General features: G+C 44.6%; 2 pseudogenes, besides 3 other annotated features; both read left to right on the top strand.

The window, feature by feature from the left end:
• On the top strand, nucleotides 216-1,554 carry NKAIN1P2 (NKAIN1 pseudogene 2; annotated as a pseudogene).
• Nucleotides 10,798-11,348: an enhancer, noted in NCBI's record as "NANOG hESC enhancer chr2:91921621-91922171 (GRCh37/hg19 assembly coordinates)". NCBI's record gives its function as "activates a minimal SCP1, AML or CMV promoter by ChIP-STARR-seq in naive H9 embryonic stem cells {active_cell/tissue: H9 hESC(naive)}" and the evidence as "EXISTENCE:reporter gene assay evidence [ECO:0000049][PMID:30033119]".
• The window catches only part of IGSF3P2 (IGSF3 pseudogene 2), a 30,792-nt pseudogene continuing 21,429 nt past the window's right edge, over nucleotides 13,924-23,286 (top strand).
• Nucleotides 15,884-16,385: an enhancer, noted in NCBI's record as "H3K4me1 hESC enhancer chr2:91926707-91927208 (GRCh37/hg19 assembly coordinates)". NCBI's record gives its function as "activates a minimal SCP1, AML or CMV promoter by ChIP-STARR-seq in naive H9 embryonic stem cells {active_cell/tissue: H9 hESC(naive)}" and the evidence as "EXISTENCE:reporter gene assay evidence [ECO:0000049][PMID:30033119]".
• Nucleotides 21,848-22,445: an enhancer, noted in NCBI's record as "H3K27ac hESC enhancer chr2:91932671-91933268 (GRCh37/hg19 assembly coordinates)". NCBI's record gives its function as "activates a minimal SCP1, AML or CMV promoter by ChIP-STARR-seq in primed H9 embryonic stem cells {active_cell/tissue: H9 hESC(primed)}" and the evidence as "EXISTENCE:reporter gene assay evidence [ECO:0000049][PMID:30033119]".

Raw genomic sequence — 23,286 nt, forward strand, 5'->3', positions numbered from 1 at the left:
TTGTCCCTAAAAATTTTTAGGAATGGCATCAGATATAGCGAAGGTTTGCAAACTGATTTTCAGGGTTGGGCTGGTCTTCATGTGTTTGTTAACCTTGAGGACTAGGTATATCATTTGTTAAGTGTGTTATTGGACTGACAGCTGCTCTCTATGAAAAGTAGAATAATCATTGAATATAATAAAAAGAATAATTATTGAAGGTTGGATAAAGAGGTCCGCGGAGCGATGGGCGAGTACGCGGGTGCCACACGCTCCTCGCCTTCTGCTGCCTGCAACTGGTGGCAGCGCTGGAGCAGCAGATCTTTGACTTCCAGGGCCGCCTACCAGTGAGCTCCCACCCTAGCCAATTTCCTGCGCCTCGTGGCGCTCACCCTGGGCATCGTGGGCACCGCAGTGTGGCTGACGCTCCGGGCTGGCCTGAGTGCGTTTATCACCTGCTTCTACCCGAAGGCTGGACCCAATATCCCCAGACCGCGACTTCCCCACAGCGTCCAAATGCCCCTGTACCGATCCAGGGATGGAGAATCGCCGGGCAGCGGGCGACTCCGGTTCTGAGCTTCCCCTGGCCATGGGGGGCTGCCGTGCAGTCTTGTCCCTGGCTGCCTGCTGCACTGTCCCTGCAAAGAAGCCCTCAGCAGCGCCCGCAGATCCTCCTGGCGCTGCTCCGCTTCCTGTTCGCCAGCTATGGGAGCAAAGTCTTCCTGAAGGAGGAGGCAGCTTTGACTTCATCAGCGGCTTCCACTCCTAGGGATGCCAGGCGCCCCAGAAGACATCACGTTGACACCAGCAGCCTCTATGCGCTTCGGGTAGCCCTGCCCCGCCTGCCCTGGCCCTGTGCCCTTGGCGCTGGACTGACCTCGGCAGCCGCGATCTTGGTCAGGACCAGCAGGCACAGCCCTGGGGGCTCGGGACCCACTGCAGCCTGTGAAGGCCCCATGGCTCTGCACACAGAGAGGCGGAGCAGCAGACTTTGGGACTTGGCCCCTCACAACCAGGACTTCAGAGAGGATTGGGGTGGGTAAGGGAGGGGCCACGGAGTCCGCATTTTAAAAAATTTCAGACTTAGTGTGAGCTGGAGCTTTTCTCCCTTCTCCAGCCTCTTCCTTTCACCCTTCACCCAGCATCCCGCCCCTGTCCAGAGAGAAACAGCAGGAGGGCTTGCCCTTTCTATCTCACCGCACTCACTCCCCAGGCTGAGGAAAGCCGGGGGAACTAGGGGCAGGAGTTCTGGTTTCTCATCGCAGGTCCATCAGACTCTGGGTGACAGCTAGCAGAGCCCTAGCCCTCTCGGTGCCTCAGTTTCCCCACCTTGCCATTAAAAGAGTCCCTTGGTAGGTGAGCTCTTCTAGCCTTCTCATATAACTCTGAATTCTGTGGGCTGGGATGGGATTATAAATCCCATTTTGCAGATGTAGAAACTGAGGCCAAGAGAAATGAAATGGTTTGAGGCCACACTGCTAGATTTTGGTGGAAGCAGGCCTTGAACGCAGCGGACTTTCTGTAGTTTCAGCCTCTAAAACCCAGTGTCCTCTCTGAGTTCCATTTTCAGGCCCCTCACTACATTCACACATCACTGCTTGCCAAGACCTCTCCTCAACCACCATCTTATCAAAGGTGACAAGAGTCACCTTTGCTCCAGTTCCCAGCAAGTTCCTCATCTCCATCAGAGACTGCCTCAGCATGGATTTCATTGTCCATATCATTATCAGCATTTTGGTCAAAGCCATTCAACAAGTCTCTTGGAATTTCAAACTTTCCCACATTTTCCTGTCTTCTGAGACCTGCAAATTGTTCAACCTCTGCCAGTTACCCAGCTCCAAAGTAGCTGGGATTACAGGCACACACCACCACACCCGGCTGATTTTTGTATTTTTAGTTTCATCATGTTGGCCAGGCTGGTCTTGAACTCTCGACCTCAGGTGATCCTCCCCCCTTGGCCTCTCAAAGTGCTGGGATTACAGGTGTGAGCCATTGTGCCTGGCTGCTGCTCCTTTTTTTTTGTGATGGACCTGGGAGATCTTTAGGAATGAGGGAAATGATCCTTTCTTTGAATAAGGCAGAATACTAAAGACTAGCCAGCCCTCAGGCTCATGGTGGTTGCTGCTATTCTGTTGAATGTGAACCATAGCCTTTAGAAAGGAGCAAGTCTTTGTGGAATACACAGGATTTGAAGTGCAACAAAGGGGTGGAAACCCAGCTGACCATGATACCTTCAAGTGAGTTTTTCCACTGAATTTGATTATTTTCCCATTTGGCACTTCTTTCTGGGTTTTTTAAGCAGCCCAAAAACTCTAGGTGATTTTACTTTTGTAATTGTATTCTCTTGGGAATGCTCATTCCTGATTCCTCGTTTCACCAAATAGGTGTGGAACCTACTTGTTTCTGCCTATAATAATTCTGGAGTCTTTAAACAAAACGACTGTGACTTTTCATGATGAGTAGAAGATAGGTTTTACTCATGCTACAATCAATATTAATTCCTTGCAGTTCAAAGACACTGAGGCCTTGTCTAATAATATAGAAGTTGAACTTGGACTTGGGAGATGACTCCTGCCTCTCGTCCTCTCTGTGGCTCTGCTTTCTATTATTTTACTCATAAGCTTGTTTTGTCTCCTTGCTGAGAATTGTCAAACATGAAATGTAATTTCAGGCTATAGTGAAGAAAGATGACGTAGGCAGAAGAAATTGGCAATCATTTGGCCTGTACATGTTGCTTTTTGTTTTTTTTTCTGGACTTAGGATATAGACCACACCTTGACATTTCTGGCCTTTGAGTCTTTCACAACTGTGATTATAATACATTAGCTCTTCTAGAAGTTAGAAGTGACTTTGGATTAAGTCTTTCATAAGGTGGCTAAATGAATTTATATGGCTCATCACAATTCACTAGATTGGTTAAGCAGGAAGTTTACAGAGATTTTTTTCTTTGCTGTAAATGTTTTTCTAAATTGAAAAACTTCTATTACTGTCTTCTGGAGTACTAGAAATAAGTGCAAGTGATTGTTTTTGGCAGGAGGCCACATAAACATTTCTGCTTCTCTGTGCCTTATGGGTAGCATTGATATAAATTGTTAAAAATAATGATTGTAGATAGATAATGTATCAGAATTTGGGCTCAGCTGCGGTAGCTGCTGTTGACCCAGAGGGACCACTGGGATCCTCACATCTCAGGGCAGCACATCGTTTGCAGCAATGGTTGGTTCTACGCAACCTTTTATGAAATTAGGTGAGGCCCTTGCTTAGAATTTTTTAAAAGCTTAATATGAGTTTATATCTCTTTAAATATCAGTTTCTAATATTTTTTTAAAGGCCTATGTTTACAACAAATTTAGGAGATACCTTTATGCACTACTAACTAGTGTTCTTTTGTGGTGCTTTAGAAATTCTGGCTTACTTGTATTTTTGCTGGCCTTCTAATGATTTCACTCATCAATCAGAAGATATTTGTGTCCACCTCCCTGCTTCCTCTCCGGTGATCTTGTCTATTCTTGGCCATTTTAGAGTTGACTTAGCAGCCTTCACAAAACTGATTGGAATTTCCACTGGGATTAAATTGATAGGTCATTTTTGGGAGACCTTTGCAATATTGAACTTTCCAATCCATGAACTTTACTTATCTGCCCATTTATTATGTTTGTTTTTGGTAGATTACAAAATTATATGATCACTCCAAAAATTACCTTGCCCTTTAGAATAAAACCTTCCATTGTAAACTTCTGGCAATAACTGATCTGTGTTCCTCTAGCATTGCTTTTTTTTCAGAATTTTATACAAATGGAATCGTTCAGGATGTAGCCTTTTGAGTCTGGCTACTTTCATATACTGTATCAACAGTTATTCCTTTTAATTGCCAAATAGTAATCCATTGTATAAATACTACATGGTTTGCTTATTGGTTTGTCATTGGAGGAATATGGACTATTTTCACTTTTTGATAAATTATAAGTGGACTGGAATTCACAAAGTGCTTTTTGTCTGAGCATAGGTTTTCATTTCACTTGTGCAAATGCCTAAGGGTAGGATTGCCGAGTCACATGGTCCATGTACGTTTGACTTTATCAGAACCTGCCAAATTGTCTTCCAAAGTGCTGTGCCACTTCTGTTTCTTTAATAAATACAGGGGTATTCAAGCTGTCTGTTTCTTCTTGAGTTTCGGTAGTCTGTCTTTCAAGGAATTGATCTATTTCACCTAATTTGTAGAATTTAGAAGCATATAGTTGTTTGTTTTGTTTTTGTAGTGTCCATTCTAGCCTTCTAGTGTCTACAGGATTTGTAATAATATTCCTTTCATTTCTGGTATTGGCAATTTGTGTTTTCTCTTCTTCCTTTGTCAGTCTGCTAGAGGCTTCCTCATTTGATTGACTTCCACCTCCCACCACCCTTGCAAAGAACCAACTTTGGATTTCATTGAATTTTTTTCCTTTACTGTTTTTGTTTAAATATTACTGATTTAGTCTGTTTTTCTTATGCCTGATTTGAGTTTATTTGGTTCTTTTTTTACTTAAAGTAAATGCTTACATTATTGATTTGATGCTTCATTTCTCATAATTTAGTGCTATAAATTGCCCTGTAAGCACATATTTTGATAAGATGATGTCATATTTATTAAGTTCAAACTGTTTTCCAATTTGTCTTAAGATACTCTCTTTGACCTATGGGCCATTTAGAAGTACGCCATTTAACTTCTCATATTTGGGGATGTTCTAGAAATGTTCTAGATTCCTAGTTTAATTCTGTCATCAGAGAAAATAATTCACTGAATTTTAATTGTTTAACTTTAGGGTTTGTTTTATGACCCAGAATATGATCTCTCACCACCACCATCCAGATAATTCTTCAGGTTTTGACGTTTCCCAACCTGTCTGCTGGTTACTTTTCAGAGTACTTGGGTCATTGCTATTTATATTTTGTCCAGAGTTTCAAATTGTGATCAGTGGAAATGACAGGCCGTAGCATGCATACGCCATCCTGGCCAGCATCACAGGCGGTCAGCATATCTTTCTGTTGTTGTTTTGAGACAGGGTCTCACTCTGTTGCCCAGGCTGGAGCACAGTGGCATGATCAGGGATCACTGCATTCTCAACCTGCTAGGCTCAAGTGATCCTCCCACCTCAGCCTCCCGAATAGCTGGGTCTATAGGTGTGCTGCCATGCCCAGCTAATTTTTGTATTTTTTATAAAGACGTGATTTTGCCTTGTTGCCCAGGCTGGTCTCAAACTCCTGAGCTCAGGCCATCCTCTCACTCGGGCCTCCCAAAATACTAGGATTATAGGCATGACCACCACACCTGGCCAGTACATCTTAAAAATAATTGCTGATCCACGTTGAATAATGATGGCCTGTAAATATTTTCTCTTGCACTTGCCTTGTTGGGTTTTGATATCAAGGTTATTTTTATTTTAACCTTGTAAAATGAACTCGGGAGTCTTCTTTTTTTATTCTCTGTGTTGGTGGCAGAGTTTTTTTTGTTGTTGTTGTTTGGTTGGTTGGTTTGTTTCTCTTGTATGTTTCATGGAACTTTTTGGTGAAGGCACTTGGGCCTGGAAATTTCTTTATGGGAAGTTTTTTCATTACTGATTCAATATATTTAATCTATGTAAGTTTTTTTTCTACTTTTTGAGTCAATTTTGATTTTTTTTCCTAGAAATTCATATCTCACCAAGTATGGTGGCTTATGCTTGTAATCCCAGCACTTTGGGAGGCTCAGGTGGGAGGACCACTTGACTACAGTAGTTCAAGACCAGCCTGGGCAATATAGTGAGACTCCATCTCTACAAAAAAAATAAAAATTAGCTTGGTGTGGTAGTGGGTGCCTGTAGTGTGAGCTACTTGGGATGCTGAGGTGGGAGGATCATTTGAGCCTGGAAGGTCGAGACTGCAGTGAGCTGTGATTGTGCCACTGCACTCCAGCCTGAGCGACAGAATGAGACCTTGTCTCAAAAAAAAAAAAAAAAAAAAGATTTGTCATCTATGCTTTAAAGTCTGTTGGCATAAAGGTATTCATAATTTTACATTATGAATTTGTTTATTTGAGACAGGGTCTCACTCTGTTGCCCAGGCTGGAGTACAGTGGTGCAATCATGGCTCACTGCAGCCTCCACCTCCCAGGCTCAAGCCACCCTCTTGCTTCAGCCTCCCAAGTAGCTGGGACCACAGGCACGTGCCACCATGCCCAGCTAATTTTTGTATATTTGGTAGAGACGGGGTTTTGCCATGTTGCCCAGGCTGGTCTCAAACTCCTGAATTTGAGCATTCCTCCCACTTCGGTCTCCCAAAGTGCTGGGATTACAGGTGCGAGCCATCGTTCTTGGCCTGCAAGTTATGACTTCCTTTCAGAGTCTTTCTATCTGTAGTACAGTCCTCCTGTGCAAGATTGTTTTTTGAATGCTTTTTCTTGACAAATCTTGCTAAAGGTCTGTGAATTTTATAATGTATTTTTTAAGAACCAGGTTTTAGCAGGGCATGGTGGCTCATACCTGTAATCCCAGCACTTTGAGAGGCAAAGGTGGGAGGATCGCTTGAGCCTGTAAGGGGGAGGCTGTACTAAGCTGTGATTGAGCCACTACACTCCAGCCTGGGCAACAGAATGAGACCCTATCTGAAAACCAAAAAAAACACAAGTTTTAGCTTGGCTGATTCTATTGTGTGTTTCTTTCGTATTTCATTTGTTTGTTATGTTTTTCCTTTTTTCTTTCTTTGAATTTAACTTGTTCTTTGTCTGATTTATTGACTGATGCTTAGTTTTTTGTTTTTTTTTTTTTTTTTGAGACGTAGTCTCACTCTTTCACCAGGCTGGAGTGCTGTGGCACAATCTCGGCTCACTGCAACCTCCAGCTCCCGGGTTCAAGTGATTCTCCTGCCTCAGCCTCCCAAGTAGCTGGGACTATAGGTTTGCGCCACCACACCCAGGTAATTTTTGTATTTTTAGTAGAGCTGGGGATTCACCATGTTGGCCAGCACAAAGTGCTCGGATTACAGGCATGAGCCACTGTGCCTGGCCAGTGCAAGTGTCTTTAGCCAGCTTCATTTACTCCCTAACTCCTTGCCTCAGGTTCTGCATCCGTAAAGTGAGGTCACTAGGAGTATTTACCTCAGAGGGCTGTTGCAAGGTTAAAGCTGGTTATACAAGCAGAGTACTTGGAACAGTGTCAGTTACCTGGCTGGGGCTCAGTAAGTGCTGGCTGTCCTCATTGAAAAGGTTCAAGTGTTGTGTTTTCCTGTCACCTGATCTGGAAAGAGGTCAAACAGAGGATCTTTTAGCCCATGCCACTTCCTGTCCTTCCTTGGCTGAAGGCTGACAGGTAAGAATCCCCAGAAGTTGTCACCGATGTGCCTGTGGAAGTGCCTTCCTGATTGCTTTCCCTCTGGAGCCTTTAAGTTCCATGAAGCACTTTGTTGGCCTGTACTCCACCTATTCAGCATGCTGTGGCAGCTCAGTTCAGATCCCATTTTTAACTTGGGACTGCATAGATTCCCCATCATTTCTTTTAGGACCAGGTGGGCAAGAAGATCCAGTCAGTGCTTTATTACTTCTCACTGATATTCACAGAGCACATTTAATGTGAGCCATGGAATAAGAAAACTCTTAGTCACATTCTGTGTCATGAGAAGGTTACTTAACCTTGAAAACCATTTCCTTGTCTGGTAAATGCGGCTGTAATGAAATCGACCCCATTCACTGTTGTGAGGATTAAATGAGATGATGTATGCAGAGCAACTAGGACAGTGCCTGGGAAAGTGCTACTCATGATCATTTATCTTCAGTTTAGAACAATATATACTTGCTTATTTAAAAAAGGAGATAATAGAGAAAAGGTATTGAGAAAAATAGGAGAGGAGAAAATCACTCATATTCTCACCATTCAGTGATTCAGCCCAGTATCATCAATGTTTTGTTTGGTTGTTTTTGTAGGTGTAGGATTTTTTTTTTTTTTTAACGTAATTTTCCTGCATAAGCAGTTTCGCATTTTTAACCCAAACTTAATGTTCTTTTTAATGTTCTTGTACTTACAAAGATTTATCTTGTTTTTAGATTGATATCTCACCTTGGCAGAAATGAGATAAAATTTTAAAATATTCATTTGGTGGCTTTCACAGTATTATTTGATCTCTAGGGTCTCCTGTGAGTTTGCTACATGGTACATTGTATTACTTTCATCTTATAGATGAAGAAAGATACTAGTGTGGCTGAGTCGCAAGCAGAATTTGGAGGAGCATGGTGCTGAATGAGTTTTGATGATTGTAGGGGCCACAACTGGAAAAGTAGATGTAAAATGGTGAGGTCGATCCCTCTGACACTTTCACATGCTCAGTCACACATCTTGAACATATAAGTTGGATCCTGTGCCTAGAGAGGTAGGTTTCTGAGCCAAGGCATATTCCAAAAATTGCATGAGAAGCTGGCTTTCCCAGGCACAGTGAGCCCTCCCAGCTCACTACCTCCTGAATCATACCTCCTGCCCCTAGCCAGGTTTATCTAGGACTTGAGCACAAAGAAAAAGTGGGAGCATCTTTGAACAACAAATATCTTGAAAAACTAGTTAAGTGGTATCATATATTTGTGGGATGGGTGATTTCAAAACCCAGTCTAAAAGGACAGGACCTTGCTCATTGACAATTTATTGTCTGATGCAATGTTTCTTAATCTTTTTGGGTCTTGGATTCCCTTGAGAATCTTTTGAAGTTTATGGACTCTTTTCCCAGAAGAACACACTCATGTGTATGTAACACAATTTTGCATTCAATCTTAGGGACTGCAGGTGTCTACATTAGTTATATATTGGTGTAAAAAAAAAAAGCCCCAAACTTAAGGCTTAAAGGAACAATAGATGCTTATTATCTCACAGTTTCTGTGGTTCAGAAAGTCAGTAACATCTTAACTGGATACTTCTGACTCAGAGTCTCCCAGGAGGTTGCAGTCAAGATGTTGTTGGGGGGAAAGGGGCAGGTTCAGTGGCTCATGCCTGTAATCTCTACACTCTGGGAAGCAAAGCCAGGAGGATTACTTGAGCCCAGGAGTTTGAGACCAGCCTGGGCAACACAGTGAGACCCTATGTATTAGTCAGTTCTCACATTGCTATAAATACATGAGACTGGAGAATTTATAAAGAAAAGGGGTTTAATTGTCTCACAGTTCCACAGGCTGTTCAGGGAGCATAATGCTGGCATCTGCTCAGCTTCTGGGGCAACCACAGGAAACTTTCAATCATGGTGGAAGATGAAGGGGAAGCAGGCACGCCTTACATGGCCAAATCAGGAGCAAGAGAGAGAGTGGGGAGGTGCCACACACTTTTAAACAATTAGATACTGTGAGAACTCTAACGAGCACAGCACCAAAAGGGTGATGCTAAATCATTCATGAAAGATCCACTCCTGTGATCCAGTCACCTCCCACCAGGCCCCACCTCTAACATTGAGGATTATAATTGAACGTGAGATTTAGGTGGGTACACAGACCCCAACCATATCATCCCGTCTCTATAAGAAATAAAAAAGTTAGCCAGGCATGGTGGTGTCTGCTGGTGGTCCCAGATACTCAGGAGGCTGATGTGGGAGGATCACTTGAGCCTCGGAGGTCAAGGCTGCAGTGAGCTATGATTGCACCACTGCACTCCAGCCTGGGTGACAGAGTGAGACCCTGTCTCAACAACAACAAAAAGATGCCTGGGGTTGACATTATCTGAAGGCTTGACTGAGTTGACTGAGGCTGGAGAATCTACTTCCAGTCACGTGCTAGCAAGTTAGTGCTAGCTGTTGGCAGGAGGCCTCATGCGGTCCTCCCCATATGGCTGCTTTGATGTCCTCATAACATAGTGCTTGTCTTTTTATGACCTAGCCCTGGAAGTCACATTCCACCATTTGTGCATTTCCTATTGGTCACATAGGTCAGTCCTATTTAGTGCATAGGGCAAAGTCTGAGAGGGGAGTAGTGCTGACTGCCCATGCCCTCTCCTGGTGCACACCGCTTCCAGCACCCAGAAGCTCTCCTAACTCCGTTATTTAGGGTTTTCATATGGGATTTCATTACATGGGTATGACTGATCAAATCACTGACCAATACTGATTGGATCAATCTGCGGTCCCCCTCTTGTCCTTGGAGGTCTAAGGGTGGGGCTGAAAACTCCACAACTCTAACCGTGGCCAGCTCCTTCCTTGAAACTGCCTCCATGCTCACCTTCATTCACCTCATTAGCATAAACTCTGGGATGGCCAAAAGGGGCTTCTTATAAATAACAAAAGGTACTCCCATTGCTTAGGAAGTTCCAAGGGGTTTAGGAGCTCAGTGCCAGGAACTGGGGACAAAGACCAAATATGTATATATATATAAATACTACAGTAGTGAATTTTATATAGCAAACATGCATTATTTTTCTTTTTGGCTAAAATTTTTTTCTAGTTATAAAACTGGTACATACTCATTGCAGAGGACTGGGGGAAGGAGTAAAATATTAAGAAAAAAATAAAAATCACTTGCCATCCTGTCACCTAGTATTTTCTTTCTAGTTCTTTTCATGCAGTTATATATAACATTTTGATCTTTCTTTTTATGTTACAGAAGTCATATTTGCTTATTGCAGAGTAATCCAAAGAGTACAGAATGTCTAAAGTTTAAAAAGTTATTTAAAAAAAATGATCCTTGCCTGGGAGGAACTTTCTATTGTAGGTTGAGAGGGGAGATAGAGGGGCTGTGGGTCAGAGGATGCCCTGGTCAGGGTTGGGTGCCTGTGTCTCTTTGGAGGCAGCAGAGGTCTGCACAGCAGGGTATTACCATTATAGGGAAATGGTGGGGGGATGTGTGGAAGGGGAATTAAACTGCCAAGAAGAAAACAATTATTTTTATGTTGAGAAGCATTATTTTCAGGGGTCAGAAGCCCTTTGTGGGGCAGAGGGAAATTAAGGAGGTATTTAATAAACAGGTGCAGCTGAATGTGTGTGGTTAAAGTGCAATCCAGTAGTTATTTATTTGTCTGGATTGTTTATAACCTGCGTCCAGCCTAGACAAGTTGATTTGACCCTGCTGTCCTGGCTCATTCAGGCCACTTAACACTGTTTACCTTTGGGTGGGGAGGACATGCATGATCCGCTGGCCAAGTGCCTTTGTAAGGTCTGTAAATAGGATGCATTCTGGTTAAACTCATTATTGCATCACAAAAGCCAGTATCTGATGGGTCTCAGCTCTTTTCTTTTGCACTGGGGAAGACTGGAGGAGAATGAAACTTCCTTGAACCAGTGATTGGGTCTCTACCAAAGAGAGAAACTTAAAGCTAGTGAGAGCCTTAAGATATTTCATTTAAGCACTTGGCTGGCACCGTGTAGGTAGAGACACTTTAAAGTAACAGTGCTTTGCTACACCTGATTTGAATCATCTGTGGAGCTTCAAAAAAAATCCTAATTAATCCTAAGACCAGTTATGTCAGGTGGGGTGCAGGCACTGTTATTTTTTTTAAAGCTCCCCAGGTGATTCCAGTTTAGGTCCAGGACTGAGAAGCAGTCCTTGAAGATGCTGGTGTACCCTGACCTGCCTCCAGCCTTCTTTGCAGGAGATGGATGGGGGTTGGTTGTAGTTGCTCTGTCATAGAACACGGCAATTCAAAGGATACCTAATGTTATGAATGTAGGTAAATTGTTTGCAAAATGTTCTGTGTTTCAGGAATACTGCAATCATTTGATTCAAATGTCACCGTGTGTGTGTATACAGTCATGGGTCACTTAATGATGGGGACATGTTTTAAGAAATGTGTCGTTAGGCAATTTCATTCTTGTGTGAACATCATAGGGTGTATTTCAACAAACCTAGATGGGATATATATTTTCATTTATATATTTTATTATGGAAAATCAAATGTCCCAGCACTGTTACTAAATATCAGTCATTTCCCCTACTTGATCTGCCATGCCAACATTAAGTGCCATATATTAGATCTCTATATATGCTCCATTATAATCTTACAGGATCACTGTTGCACATGTGTTTCCTCATTGACTGAAATGTTATTCAGTGCATGACTGTACATATAGTAAAAATGTTATGCACCATATTTTAACATACTGATATTACTAATGAGTTGTCCTCATGGTGACTTTAAATATCATAATTAATGCCATCAACCAGAATATATCAAATAAATTCAGATACCACTTGTTCTGTTTATTTCCTTCCCCTGCCAATTTTTTATTTTTCCTGATTCTGCTGAAGCCAAGATGGGGTTCTGTGTAAGATTTTGTTTGTGAGGAAAGGTTCTGCATGAATTAAAGTTTTGCAAGCCATGGGCATTTCATTGTATGGGCTGTTTTGAGGTCTGCCATCTTGCAGATTAGATTAGCTTACACTGAGGCACAGTCACCTGCTGGGCTGGGCAGAGAGCTGCACTCCACTAGTATTTGAGCTGTCCCGGCTGTTCACCAGCTGGATCCACTTCAGATAGGCATAGCCAGGGCAGCCGCCATTCCCATTTGTGGGGGAAAAGGGAAGCTATCACAAGAATGGGCTGCAGCTGTGGGATGAGGTGGGCAGCCCAGTGATGGTGTCATTGTCAAGGGGCCATTGAAATGTCCTTAAGCAGTCATTGGCCAAATCCTGTCCTCTATGGATCCAGAGCCACAGAATGTTCCAGCAGAAATATGTCTTAGCCAGCAGCTCTTTATTGAGGACTGATTGTGGGCTAGGCTCTGTGCTAGGGTCTTTACAGATGTTACTAAATCTTCTCAATAACCCTATGAGACAGGCATTATTATCCCCATCTTACCAATGAGAAAACTGAGGCTTAGAGAGGTTAAGCAGCTTATCCAAGACCACAGTTAATAAGTGACTAGCATCGGAACCCATGCTAGTCCTCTCTAAAGCCTTCTTAGAAATCATGTGATAGATGAGAAGATCAAGGTCTGGAGAAGAAAAGCAAGTTGTCTGAGATGACACAACCAGCTCTAATTGGTGGCAAAGCTGCGCCTATAACTCACCTGTGCTTTTCACAACCTGCAGTAGGTGACCACTGCCGAAATGAAGAGGCAGCGGTGTGCCCCCTCCCACCTTCTGAGTGGCTCAGGCACAATCAGTGTTGAGTTGGCATGAAATGAGAACTTAAACTCACCATGCCACTTTAAGAAGAACATGCAGAAGGCAGGCAGAAGTGACCTTGGAGAACAGTATCTGAGCCAGAAGGCAGGAGGTCAGTGGGAGAGTCTTGAGTGGGAAACTCAAGGGTAGCCTGACTGTCCTTGTCACAGGTTTAGCTGGGCACTGTTAGTTCCCCCCTTTGTCAGTTTGTGGGAATCTGGGCATCAGGGATCTGTTTCAGCCCTTCACATTTGTATTTAGGTGTGCTCAGCTTAAAACGATAGCAGCCTGCAGGAGCTCAGCTCTGCCTCCATTTATGGAGGGAAGAGAAACTAAGGAATGCTCCTTGGGGTGGTGTTGGGGAGCAGCTACATGGGAAAATGAAGGGTGCAGCACCAGTAAAAAGGTGCTCCCAGGACTCCCTCCCACCAGCACTCGGACCAAGGAAGAAGCATTTAATTTCAGCCAGATTTCTAGATGGTCGCTTTTATTTGTTTTCATCTGAATTTGTGCCAAGGATTCAACTTTTCCTGCTTATTTTATTAAAAACTTTATACACAGCATTAATAAATAGATATAAACTGCCATATACATGACAAACAGAGGGGCTAAATGAAATTCCCAAGTGTCAGCTGTTGAATAAGTAACAAAAGCACATCTTGGCATGAACAAATTCCCGTATATTCAAATTAGGGACAGTGCTTTACCACAGAGTGTTTTAATTAATATTTATAAATCACAGAGTGCCTTTGAAAGGGCCAGTAAGCTGTTTATATTATTATCATGTCACACAAATAACAAACCCTTTGGAGATTGCTGCGTACTTTGCATTTTGTAAGTGAGCATGTTGCGTGTGTTTCTCTCCCTCGTAGGTGTGGTGTCAGCACAGCGGCAGGTCACCGTTCAGGAAGGACCCTTGTACCGCATGGAGGGCTCCCACATCACTATCTGGTGCAATGTGAGTGGCTCCCAGGGACCTCCTGAGCAGAATTTCCAGTGGTCCATTTACCTGCCTTCGTCGCCAGAGCGAGAGGTGCAGATCGTCAGCACCATGGACCCTTCCTTCCCCTATGCCATCTACACCCAGCGCGTCCGCGGAGGGAAGATCTTCATAGAAAGAGTCCAGGGGAACCCAACCCTATTGCACATCACAGATCTTCAGGCCCGGGATGCCGGAGAATATGAATGCCACACACCCAGCACCGATAAGCAATACTTTGGGAGTTACAGTGCAAAGATGAACCTAGTGGGTAAGGAGAAGCTGTCTTCACGTCGCCAGCGTCTGGCCTGACTCAGTTCTTTAGTAGTGTAATTTTGCTTTATGCCATGCATTTGACTTTAAAAAAAATCCCAAAACTCCCAACATATTTTAGGGGTCAACAGATAGCATAAGGAAACTAAATTTCTGTGTTCACTTCTAAATAATAGGTGGTTGAGGGTGAAAATTTAAAAAGATCTAATACAGATGTTAAGAATTTCATAAGTTAACTAACGCTGTAACTGGTGAAAAGGGATATGAAAATATAAGGCAAGGACGTTTGTGGTTGATGATCTGAATGACAAGGAAAATGAGACATATGACATCAGTTGGAAGAGAGGAGAAACCTCTCGGAAGGATAGGCCTTTCGGTAGCTCTGAGACCCATGGGGCACTGCTGAAGCAGGAAGCACATGTGGCTGCGGGTCCTTGTTCAGACCTTGTACATTGAAGGTCCTTTGGCTCCATGCGTAAGGAACTATGAACTGGCTGTCTCCCTTGTTGCTCCTTAATGCTGAAGGAAACATGAGGAAGAGGGATGCAGGAGCTGCCAGTGTGGGCAGCACTGGTCACAGTGTTTGCCAGTGTCAAAGGGTTAACCGTATCAAGGCTGTTCTGTTTTTCTGCCTATCTTAATGTCCAGTTTTTATTATCACAACTAAGCAGTGGGTGTTGCTAGTTCTTTTATTAATACACATACTATCATTTGTTTATTTTTCCTTTCTCTAACTAGTCTGTGTCCCAGCAGGAGACCTTTTATTTTTCATGTGTGTGTGTGTGTGTGTGTGTGTGTGTGATGGAGTTTCACTCTTGTTGCCCAGGCTGGAGTGCAATGGGGCTCACTGCAACCTCCACCTCCTGGGTTCAAGCAGTTCTCCTGCCTCAGCCTCCTGAGTAGCTGGGATTAGAGGCATGCACTACCATGCCTGGCTAATTTTGTATTTTTAGTAGAGACGGGGTTTCTCCATGTTGGTCAGGCTGGTCTCGATCTCCCGACCTCAGGTGATCCGCCTCCCTCAGCCTCCCAAAGTGTTAGGATTATAGGTGTGAGCCACCGCACTTGGCCGTTCCCAGCAGGAGACCTGTAAGACCCAATCCTTGGGTGAGAACAGGGAGAAAACACATACTAGTTGTGACTAGGGTACTCTCATCAGACAGAGAGGTGGTGCTATTTAATCTCCAGAAAGGTGCAAGCAAGGATCAGGGTATGATTCTGACCAAGGGATCACAGAGAAAATCTCTTCTCTTGCTTGAATCTCTCCAGACTGTGGCTTCCTTCCAGTGAGAACCCCTTTGATTGATGAATTATGTGAAAATTAAACCCACTAAAAATAGGGTATGATGATTATTGTTTCTACCAAAAATGGTTTTTTAAAAAAATCATCTTCCTAGGGCTGCATTGCTGAAGTAAGTTACAGGATGGGGATGTGGGAAGGAAAGAAAGGATGTTGTATAGAAATGTAAAACTAAAAGTTCCAGGAGGCATTTCCATTAGAGGACCAGTCAGAAGTGAAGTTAAAGTATCTCAAAGCAGTGCCAGAATCAACAACAAATGTTATTTGACCTATAAGACAATTGTTTAAAGACAATATTTTCAGGGAGTTCATTTATTATGTAATATGAAATACACCCCATGTTTTATCCAAGTGTTATTAAAATACGAGACAGGTAAGTGTAAGCACCAAAATAATGCATTTCCAAATCCGAACAGAAAACTTTCTGTTTATGTGCATTTGGGGCTGTCTGTGTCCTTGAATCGATGGTTCAAGGATGACTGTTAGGGACGCAGTGCGGTGACGCCTGCGTGGAATGGGAGCTTAGCCCCGGGAGTCTCAGATTCTGTGGCTTTGTGACTGCAGTCTCAGGACATTTCTGTGTTGCAGTGATCCCAGACTCCCTGCAGACCACTGCCATGCCCCAGACTCTGCACAGAGTGGAGCAGGACCCACTGGAGCTCACTTGTGAGGTGGCCTCGGAGACCGTTCAGCACAGCCACCTGTCTGTGGCCTGGCTCTGGCAGAAAGTTGGCGAGAAGCCCGTGGAGGTCATCTCCCTGAGCCGAGATTTCATGCTTCACTCTGGCAGCGAATATGCCCAGAGGCAGAGCCTGGGGGAGGTGCGGCTGGACAAGCTGGGGAGGACCACCTTCTGCCTCACCATCTTCCACCTGCAGCCTTCTGACCAGGGCGAGTTCTACTGCGAGGCCGCTGAGTGGATCCAGGATCCGGATGGGTCGTGGTATGCTATGACCCGAAAGCGTTCCGAGGGAGCAGTGGTCAACGTCCAGCCAACTGGTCAGTCCCTCTGAGCCTCTTGTCCTGTCCTTTACTTGGTGGTGAAAGCTGTCAGATACTGGGAGAATGTGGAGACTCCTTCTTTGGGCACCTCTACCAGGGCAGCAGGTTTTCATGTGAAGTTAAAGCCGGTCTTGTGTGCGGCCGGAGGGAGCTGAGGGATGTGCGGGACATAGGTATCCTAAGACCTGAGTCACAGGCAGGTGCCACACAGACTGAATCCTGCTTAGAGACATGCTTTCTTCCACCTACGTGGCGTTTACACTTTTTTGAATTAGAAACTCATTTTAAAAATTCAGAGATTTCTGAGAAACCATTTGTATCTTAAAACTCTGGGCTTTCATTCCCATTAGCCACAGTTGCTGCCCCGTTTAATGATGTTGCCTTCCTCAGGTACCCATCTGGTTTCATTTGCAGAAGCCATTTGAGATAATGAGACTTCCATCCAAGGTCTAACATTATGGACTAGAGAAATTTTGGCTTAAATTATTATTTTTTATCTAATAATAGTCTTTGGTGATATTTTGTAATTTCCAAAATGCTTTATCACATATTACTTCACCATCCCCCAGACGTTCTGTGAGGTGAGTAGGTGGTACCTATTTTGCAGGTGAGGATGCTGAATGCAGATTACTTTATGTTAGGGCTCAAGAGGAGTCATAGGGCATGTTGATGAGGCCAGTCTGAGAGTACCAAGTTCCACTGTAGATGTTTTCTTAAGTGAAGGCCTGGAAGGGGTCCTGAGGAGGTTGCATGATGTCTTTAGACACCATCATTTGTCTTGAGGCAAAATGATGGTGGCACAGCCAGCTGAAACCTTCCCTGGCTTCTCTTGGTATCTCCCGTGGCCCCAGACTCTACTCCCCAGTCTCATGAGCCCACCAGGCTCCAGGCCAGAGCTGACAGCTGTTGCTGGCTGCCTCTGCTGGGCTGAGGGCAGGTTCTCACATGGGCCTTCAGTTCCCCCAGCTTTGGTTGGAGCGTGGTTGTTGTGCCATCACTAAGTTGGTGATGAGTGGCCAGAAAGCCTTTCCTTGTGCGGATGCTCACTTCCAGTGAGGACTGTGGTGGTTCTGGTGAGTGAGTGTGGCTTTGTGGGAAATAAGCTGGTGAGTTGCAGTACAGGTGGGGTCCTTCTTCAGGACCTGTCTCTTGGGCTCCATGTCCCATTTGCTGCAGTCAGTTGTCTGGGTCTTTGCATACTTTCTCTGCCATTCTAGAGTAATGCCTCAGACTCAGCTAACAGTACACATTTTGGGGCTTCGTCCCAGAAGTCTTCAGTTGGAGGCTCCTGGGATGGGACCTGGGAAGCTGGATTTCTGGCACGCTTCCCAGGTGATTCTTCTGCTATCTACATTTTTTTCAAGCAAATCTTCTAGGGCAGAAGCAATTCTCTGGACATCACTTTAATAAGTCATCTAATGGATGTGAAATCTTTTACCATAGGGGTTGGTAGGGATAGGGAGCACTTTATCTGCTCTGTAGGACATTTAGCAGCTTCTGGATTTTTCAGCATTAAAAAATCTATCCAAGGGGCTTTATTTTATATTTATCCTTTCCCTTCCTGGATAGTTTTAAGATCAACTTCAAAAATTTGGGCCAAATTTTGAGTCTTAATGCTTTTAAATTAGGTTGCATCAGTTAATCTTCTTTATTTTAATCTTACCAATTTGGAAATAGAACTTTTTGAATTTACCCTGAAAATGTATCTAGACTAAGCCATCAAAAGGAAAACTAAGTGAAAAAAAAGTTGATGACTTCACTCTGCATTCCTGTGCTGTTTAGGTTCAGCAGTTGCATCTCCAACTCTACCCTTCTCAGTTTATTTCAGTAAACATGTAGCCAGTCTCCACAGCATTGAAGGTGTGATGGTGATAGGCATTAAGGGCTTCAAAGATGACTAGCACTGGTCCCTGCACTTAGGCAGACCTGAGAACCAATGGACAAGTAAAATGTGCTAAGTGCATTGATAGCATTTGTATAGAGTGCTCTGGGAATACCGGAAATAGGAAGTGTTCTTGCAACCATAGTTTTCTCTGAATGGGATGGTTGATAAGACAAATCCAGGAACACCAATAAGTTTCTTGACTTGAACTGAGTCTGGAAGCTTGAGGAGTCAGCAGGAGAAGAAGCATAAAAGTGCAAAAGTGTTTGATATGTTTGGCAAGCAGAAAGGAGTCAAGTATGACTAGTTCCAGATGTTGAGTTCCAGATGTGTGTGATGAGAGGAAAGGGAGCCCGAAGCCCCAAATGCAGTGATATAGAGCCGGGGCTTGACTCTGTGGGCCAAGAGTTTTCAAGCTGTTCTTGGAACCCTGGAAGCCCCTCAAAGGTACCTAGGAGGTTACACATGGGTGTGTGTTGGTGTTCATGTGCACGTGTGCATACTCAGGAGTGCAGAAAGAAGGCATGCAAGGGCCTGTGTGGTCCCCCCTTGCTTCAACTATGTTGGGCAGCAGAAGATTTTATATGAATAAAAAGTCCCCTTCCTTTGTCCTCTTCTTAATAAAGTTTGAAGACCTCTGCTGCAGACAGTTGGAGAGGAGGTAGAGATTTTTAAGCAGGGAGTAAGACAATCAGATCAGGGTTTCAGAAAGAAAAACCTATGGAGGCCACCTGGAGGTTGATTAAATCCGTTGAGTCTGAAGCCAAGAGACCAGGTAGAAAAGAGCTAATAAGAGCCAAGGCTAGGTCAGTGGGTGCCAGAGGCGAAAGAATAAAGAGCACAATGGAAGGAGGGGTCCAACTGTCTAGAAGCCCAGGGGCTGGGGCTGGGGCTCTGGGGGTTCCTTGAACTGTGGGAGGGAAGGAACAATAATGAGGACATGCAGGATCTTTTGCATTTGTGGCAGCATTGGCTGCCTTTTGTTTTTGTAAATTCTAGTGAAAGAGCCCATCCATCAGATAGACTCTGATAGAGATGCTCAGTATGCGAAACACCCAGTGGGTCCTCAGACATAGGGGTCTGGGGCTCAGAGACTGAGCCTGAGAGTGATCAGGGCCCTGGAAGAGCCCATGGGGTAAAAATGGGAAAGGGCCTGGGAGAACAGCAGCAGTAAGAGGTGACCAGGGAAGCAGGTGAGAGAGTGGAACAGAGTGGGCAGGCCAGCAAGAAGCAGAGCAGGAGAGAAGGGATCATAGAGCAGGCTCAGAGGCCTCAACCTGCTTGAGGAAAGCCTTTGGTTAGGATGGGGGTAGGGGTAGGGGTAGGGTGGATCATTCTTGACATTTGCTAAGTCAGTGAAGCCTAATTTCAGTGAGATGAAGTGGAAGGGGTATTGGAAAAAGCACAGGTCAGTTTCTAGAGATGTAATTGACTGGGCATAACCAAGGGCAGAAACAGGGGTGATGTGGGTAAATCTTGTGTCTTCAACCTGGGAACATGAAGGTGTCACCAAGGCATGGGAGGACTCCCCTGAGATGAGCAGAGTCTTTGGCCACTGAAAGAAGAAAGCCAGAGTTACAGCCAGGCTAACCTGGAGCAATGGAAAGGTCTGAAGTCTAGGGTACCCCTTGCACAGCTCCAGTGGTGTTTATGTGGAAGGAGTGCTTTTCTGTCATTGATGTCGGGTTATAAATGACTAATTGGGTTGACGTGAGAGATAATATCCAGCAGATAACACGGGGACTGTGCCATATGAGTGTGTTCATCCAGGCAGATGGTGGCAGAGTGAAATGTGCTTCCTTCAATCCATGCCTCTTAAGACTGGTCTCTTGGGAGCTGGAAGCTGTGACGGCAGCTACTTCATTGGAGGGGAGGCCCTAGAGTTGATGACGTGGTTTTCTCTGTCAGGAAGTTTGGCTGCTAGAGGAAGTAGTTAGGTCACTGGAAAGAAGGGGTGTTTGCAGCAGGACACTGGCCTATATCGGGGGGAGGGGCTGGAGAGCCTGAGGAGCAGGAGGGGTAAAGCTGAGCTGGGGCTGGAAAAGAGGAATGTGGATGCTGCTCATGCGTGACTCTTATGGTTTCTCAGGGAAACAGAAACCTCGTCTGCTTGAAGAGTGCCTAGGACGGGATGAATGGGCAAGATCTTGAAGATAGTGGGAAAGACTAGACATGCCAGTCTAGGGAAGGCAGGCAAGGTCAGAGCTAATGAGTCTACATGGAATTCAAACATCTCTGCCATGAGATTTTTTCCACCTCAGTGTTCTTTTTAGAGGAACAGAGCTAGAACTGGGCAGTGGTCACAGCTCCAGTCTCTAACCCTTAACTCCGTTTTCTTCCCCCTGACTTCTGCCCTGGGTGCCTATGAGATACGATAGCTGTCTAATGAGATTAATAGCCACTGTACACTGGTACACAGGTTGTGGTGATGCTGTTAGTGGTGATGAGCCCCTCTTTGGTCACCCCCTCACGCCTGGTTAAACACCCAACTCAACAAAAATTTGCCAGATATGGTGGCTACTCTGGAGGCTGAGGTGGGAGGATGGCTGGAGCCTGGGAAGTCGAGGCTGCAGTGAGCCATGATCATGCCACTACACTCCAGCCTGGGCAACAGAGCGAGACCCTGTCACAATAAATAAGTAAATAAATAAAAATTTAAAAAACACCTAGCTCTTTGGAGGCTGCTTGGGTTTAGTAATCATTTCAGAGGCTGTCTGGCTTTTTCAGCAGAAGTAGGTACTTTCCTACTAAAGTACCTACTAAGTACTTACTAAGTGGGAAAGTACCTACTAAGGTTTAACCAGGCGTGAGTACTTAGTAGGTACTTTCCCACTAAAGTAGGTACTTTCCTACTAAAGTAAGTACTTAGTAGGTACTTCAGTGGGAAAGTACCTACTTCCATTGAAATCTGCCTAAAGATTTGATCTGACAGGTGGTAAACTAGTGAACAGACATTAGTTTTTATTTTTTCTATGTAATTCTGTTAGGGTTTTGTCATAGCTACATCTTATTTCTAGTATTCACATGGTGGGGGGTAGAGAGGGAATTTTAATCTTTGAGCATTTGTTAGGATTGGGCCAGCACCTAGGCCACTCTGTAATTTTTTCCCACAGACCTCAGTGGGGTAAGTCTTACAATATCTGCTGAAAATGTTTATAATGCTGTTGCTTAAATAGAGTTCTGGGTGCATATATCAAGGCTAGATATTTGTAATCCACCATTTGAGTGATATTAGTAGCTTCTCACTGACCTGGGGGTCTCATGCAAGACATCTAAAGCTTCAGACTGAGCCCCATTGGTCTTAACCGGGGTAACAGTTTGCTTAGACCGTCTGGGCTGAAGTAGTTTTGAATTCTGTCTGTGATATTCAGGCGTTTCTCTGGACCTCAGATAACCTGGGTCTGAGTTGGATTTTACTCTCAAGCCAAGTGCTGTGGTCCTCCCCAAAATTAGCATTGTAAAGAAGAGGAAGGATAGTGGGAATGTGCTAATGTGGTTTAGTTGGCTGGGGCCCTCATTCCCCCAGGATGTGTCTCTTTTCTTAATTGTTCTCTCAGAGAAAGAATTCACTGTTCGGCTGGAAACAGAGAAGCGGCTGCACATGGTGGGCGAGCCGGTGGAGTTCAGATGCATCCCGGAGGCTCAGAATGTTCCCGACCGTTACTTTGCTGTCTCCTGGGCCTTCAACAGCTCGCTCATCGCCACCATGGGCCCTAACGCTGTGCCTGTCCTCAACAGCGAATTTGCTCACCGGGAAGCCAGGGGACAGCTTAACGTGGCCAAAGAGAGCGACAGTGTCTTTGTGCTGAAGATCTACCACCTCCGCCAGGAAGATAGCGGGAAATACAACTGCCGGGTGACTGAGCGAGAGAAAACCGTGACGGGGGAATTCATTGATAAGGAGAGCAAGCATCCCAAGAACATCCCCATCATAGTCCTCCCCCTCGGTAAGTAGAGAGATGTGCTGCTTTCTTCTCCTTTGGCTCAGCATCATTTAGGAGAGGTAGGGGGAGAGAGAATAGTGTGGTGAGGGTGAGGGGAGGCAGATGGAACCCTCGAGGTTAATGCAGAGCTGGGGGAAAAACCGTTGAGCCTATCTTCCCTGTTGTAGCCCACCTGCCTACATTTAGCAGTCTCCCCATAGCAGAGGATCAGGATCAGGGGTGTCCAGGATCAGGGCACTCTAGGGCTGGTCATAGGCCAATCTGATTGCTAGCAGCCCTGTGCATACAAAAGCAGTGCCAGCTCAGCTTGGAGGGAAACGAGGAATCCCAGAAAGCTGTTTGCTCTTGTGTGGGAATCAAGTCCCAGAAGAAGTGGGTAGATAGATGCCTGCCTTGAAATCTCACTTAAGGAGAGCTGGTCTTTTATGGGAGGATTTTAAATCATAAAGTGCATTATTAAGGATTTGCCATCTGGGTTTTTCAGGTATAAAGGCTGGCATTTCCCTAAATGGCTTTTCCCTGTTGAAATTGTGTTTCTAAAAGTCAGTGGATGGAACCTCTCACATCTTCCTGGAGCATAGCCTTTTAAGCTTAGCTGATTTCTGAGGCTGCCTCAGTGGGCTCCCAGCCTTCATGTAGACTGGCCTTGTGTGGGTGGGTAGTGGCCATTGCTAGGGATTCCAGAAACTACCGGTGTTTGCTTGTGTTGTGTTTAAACATTCACAGTATCAAGATATTCTTATTAATCTCATTCTCCCATAGTTCTGTTTTTAGTAAAGAGAATAAAAACCTATGATGATCTGATTTTAAACAAGTGGTAAAGTTTTAAGACTAACCTTTAACCTTTTCTCA

The sequence above is a fragment of the Homo sapiens genome, chromosome 2 (assembly GCF_000001405.40).
Source record: "Homo sapiens chromosome 2, GRCh38.p14 Primary Assembly".
Taxonomy (NCBI): Eukaryota; Metazoa; Chordata; class Mammalia; order Primates; family Hominidae; genus Homo; species Homo sapiens.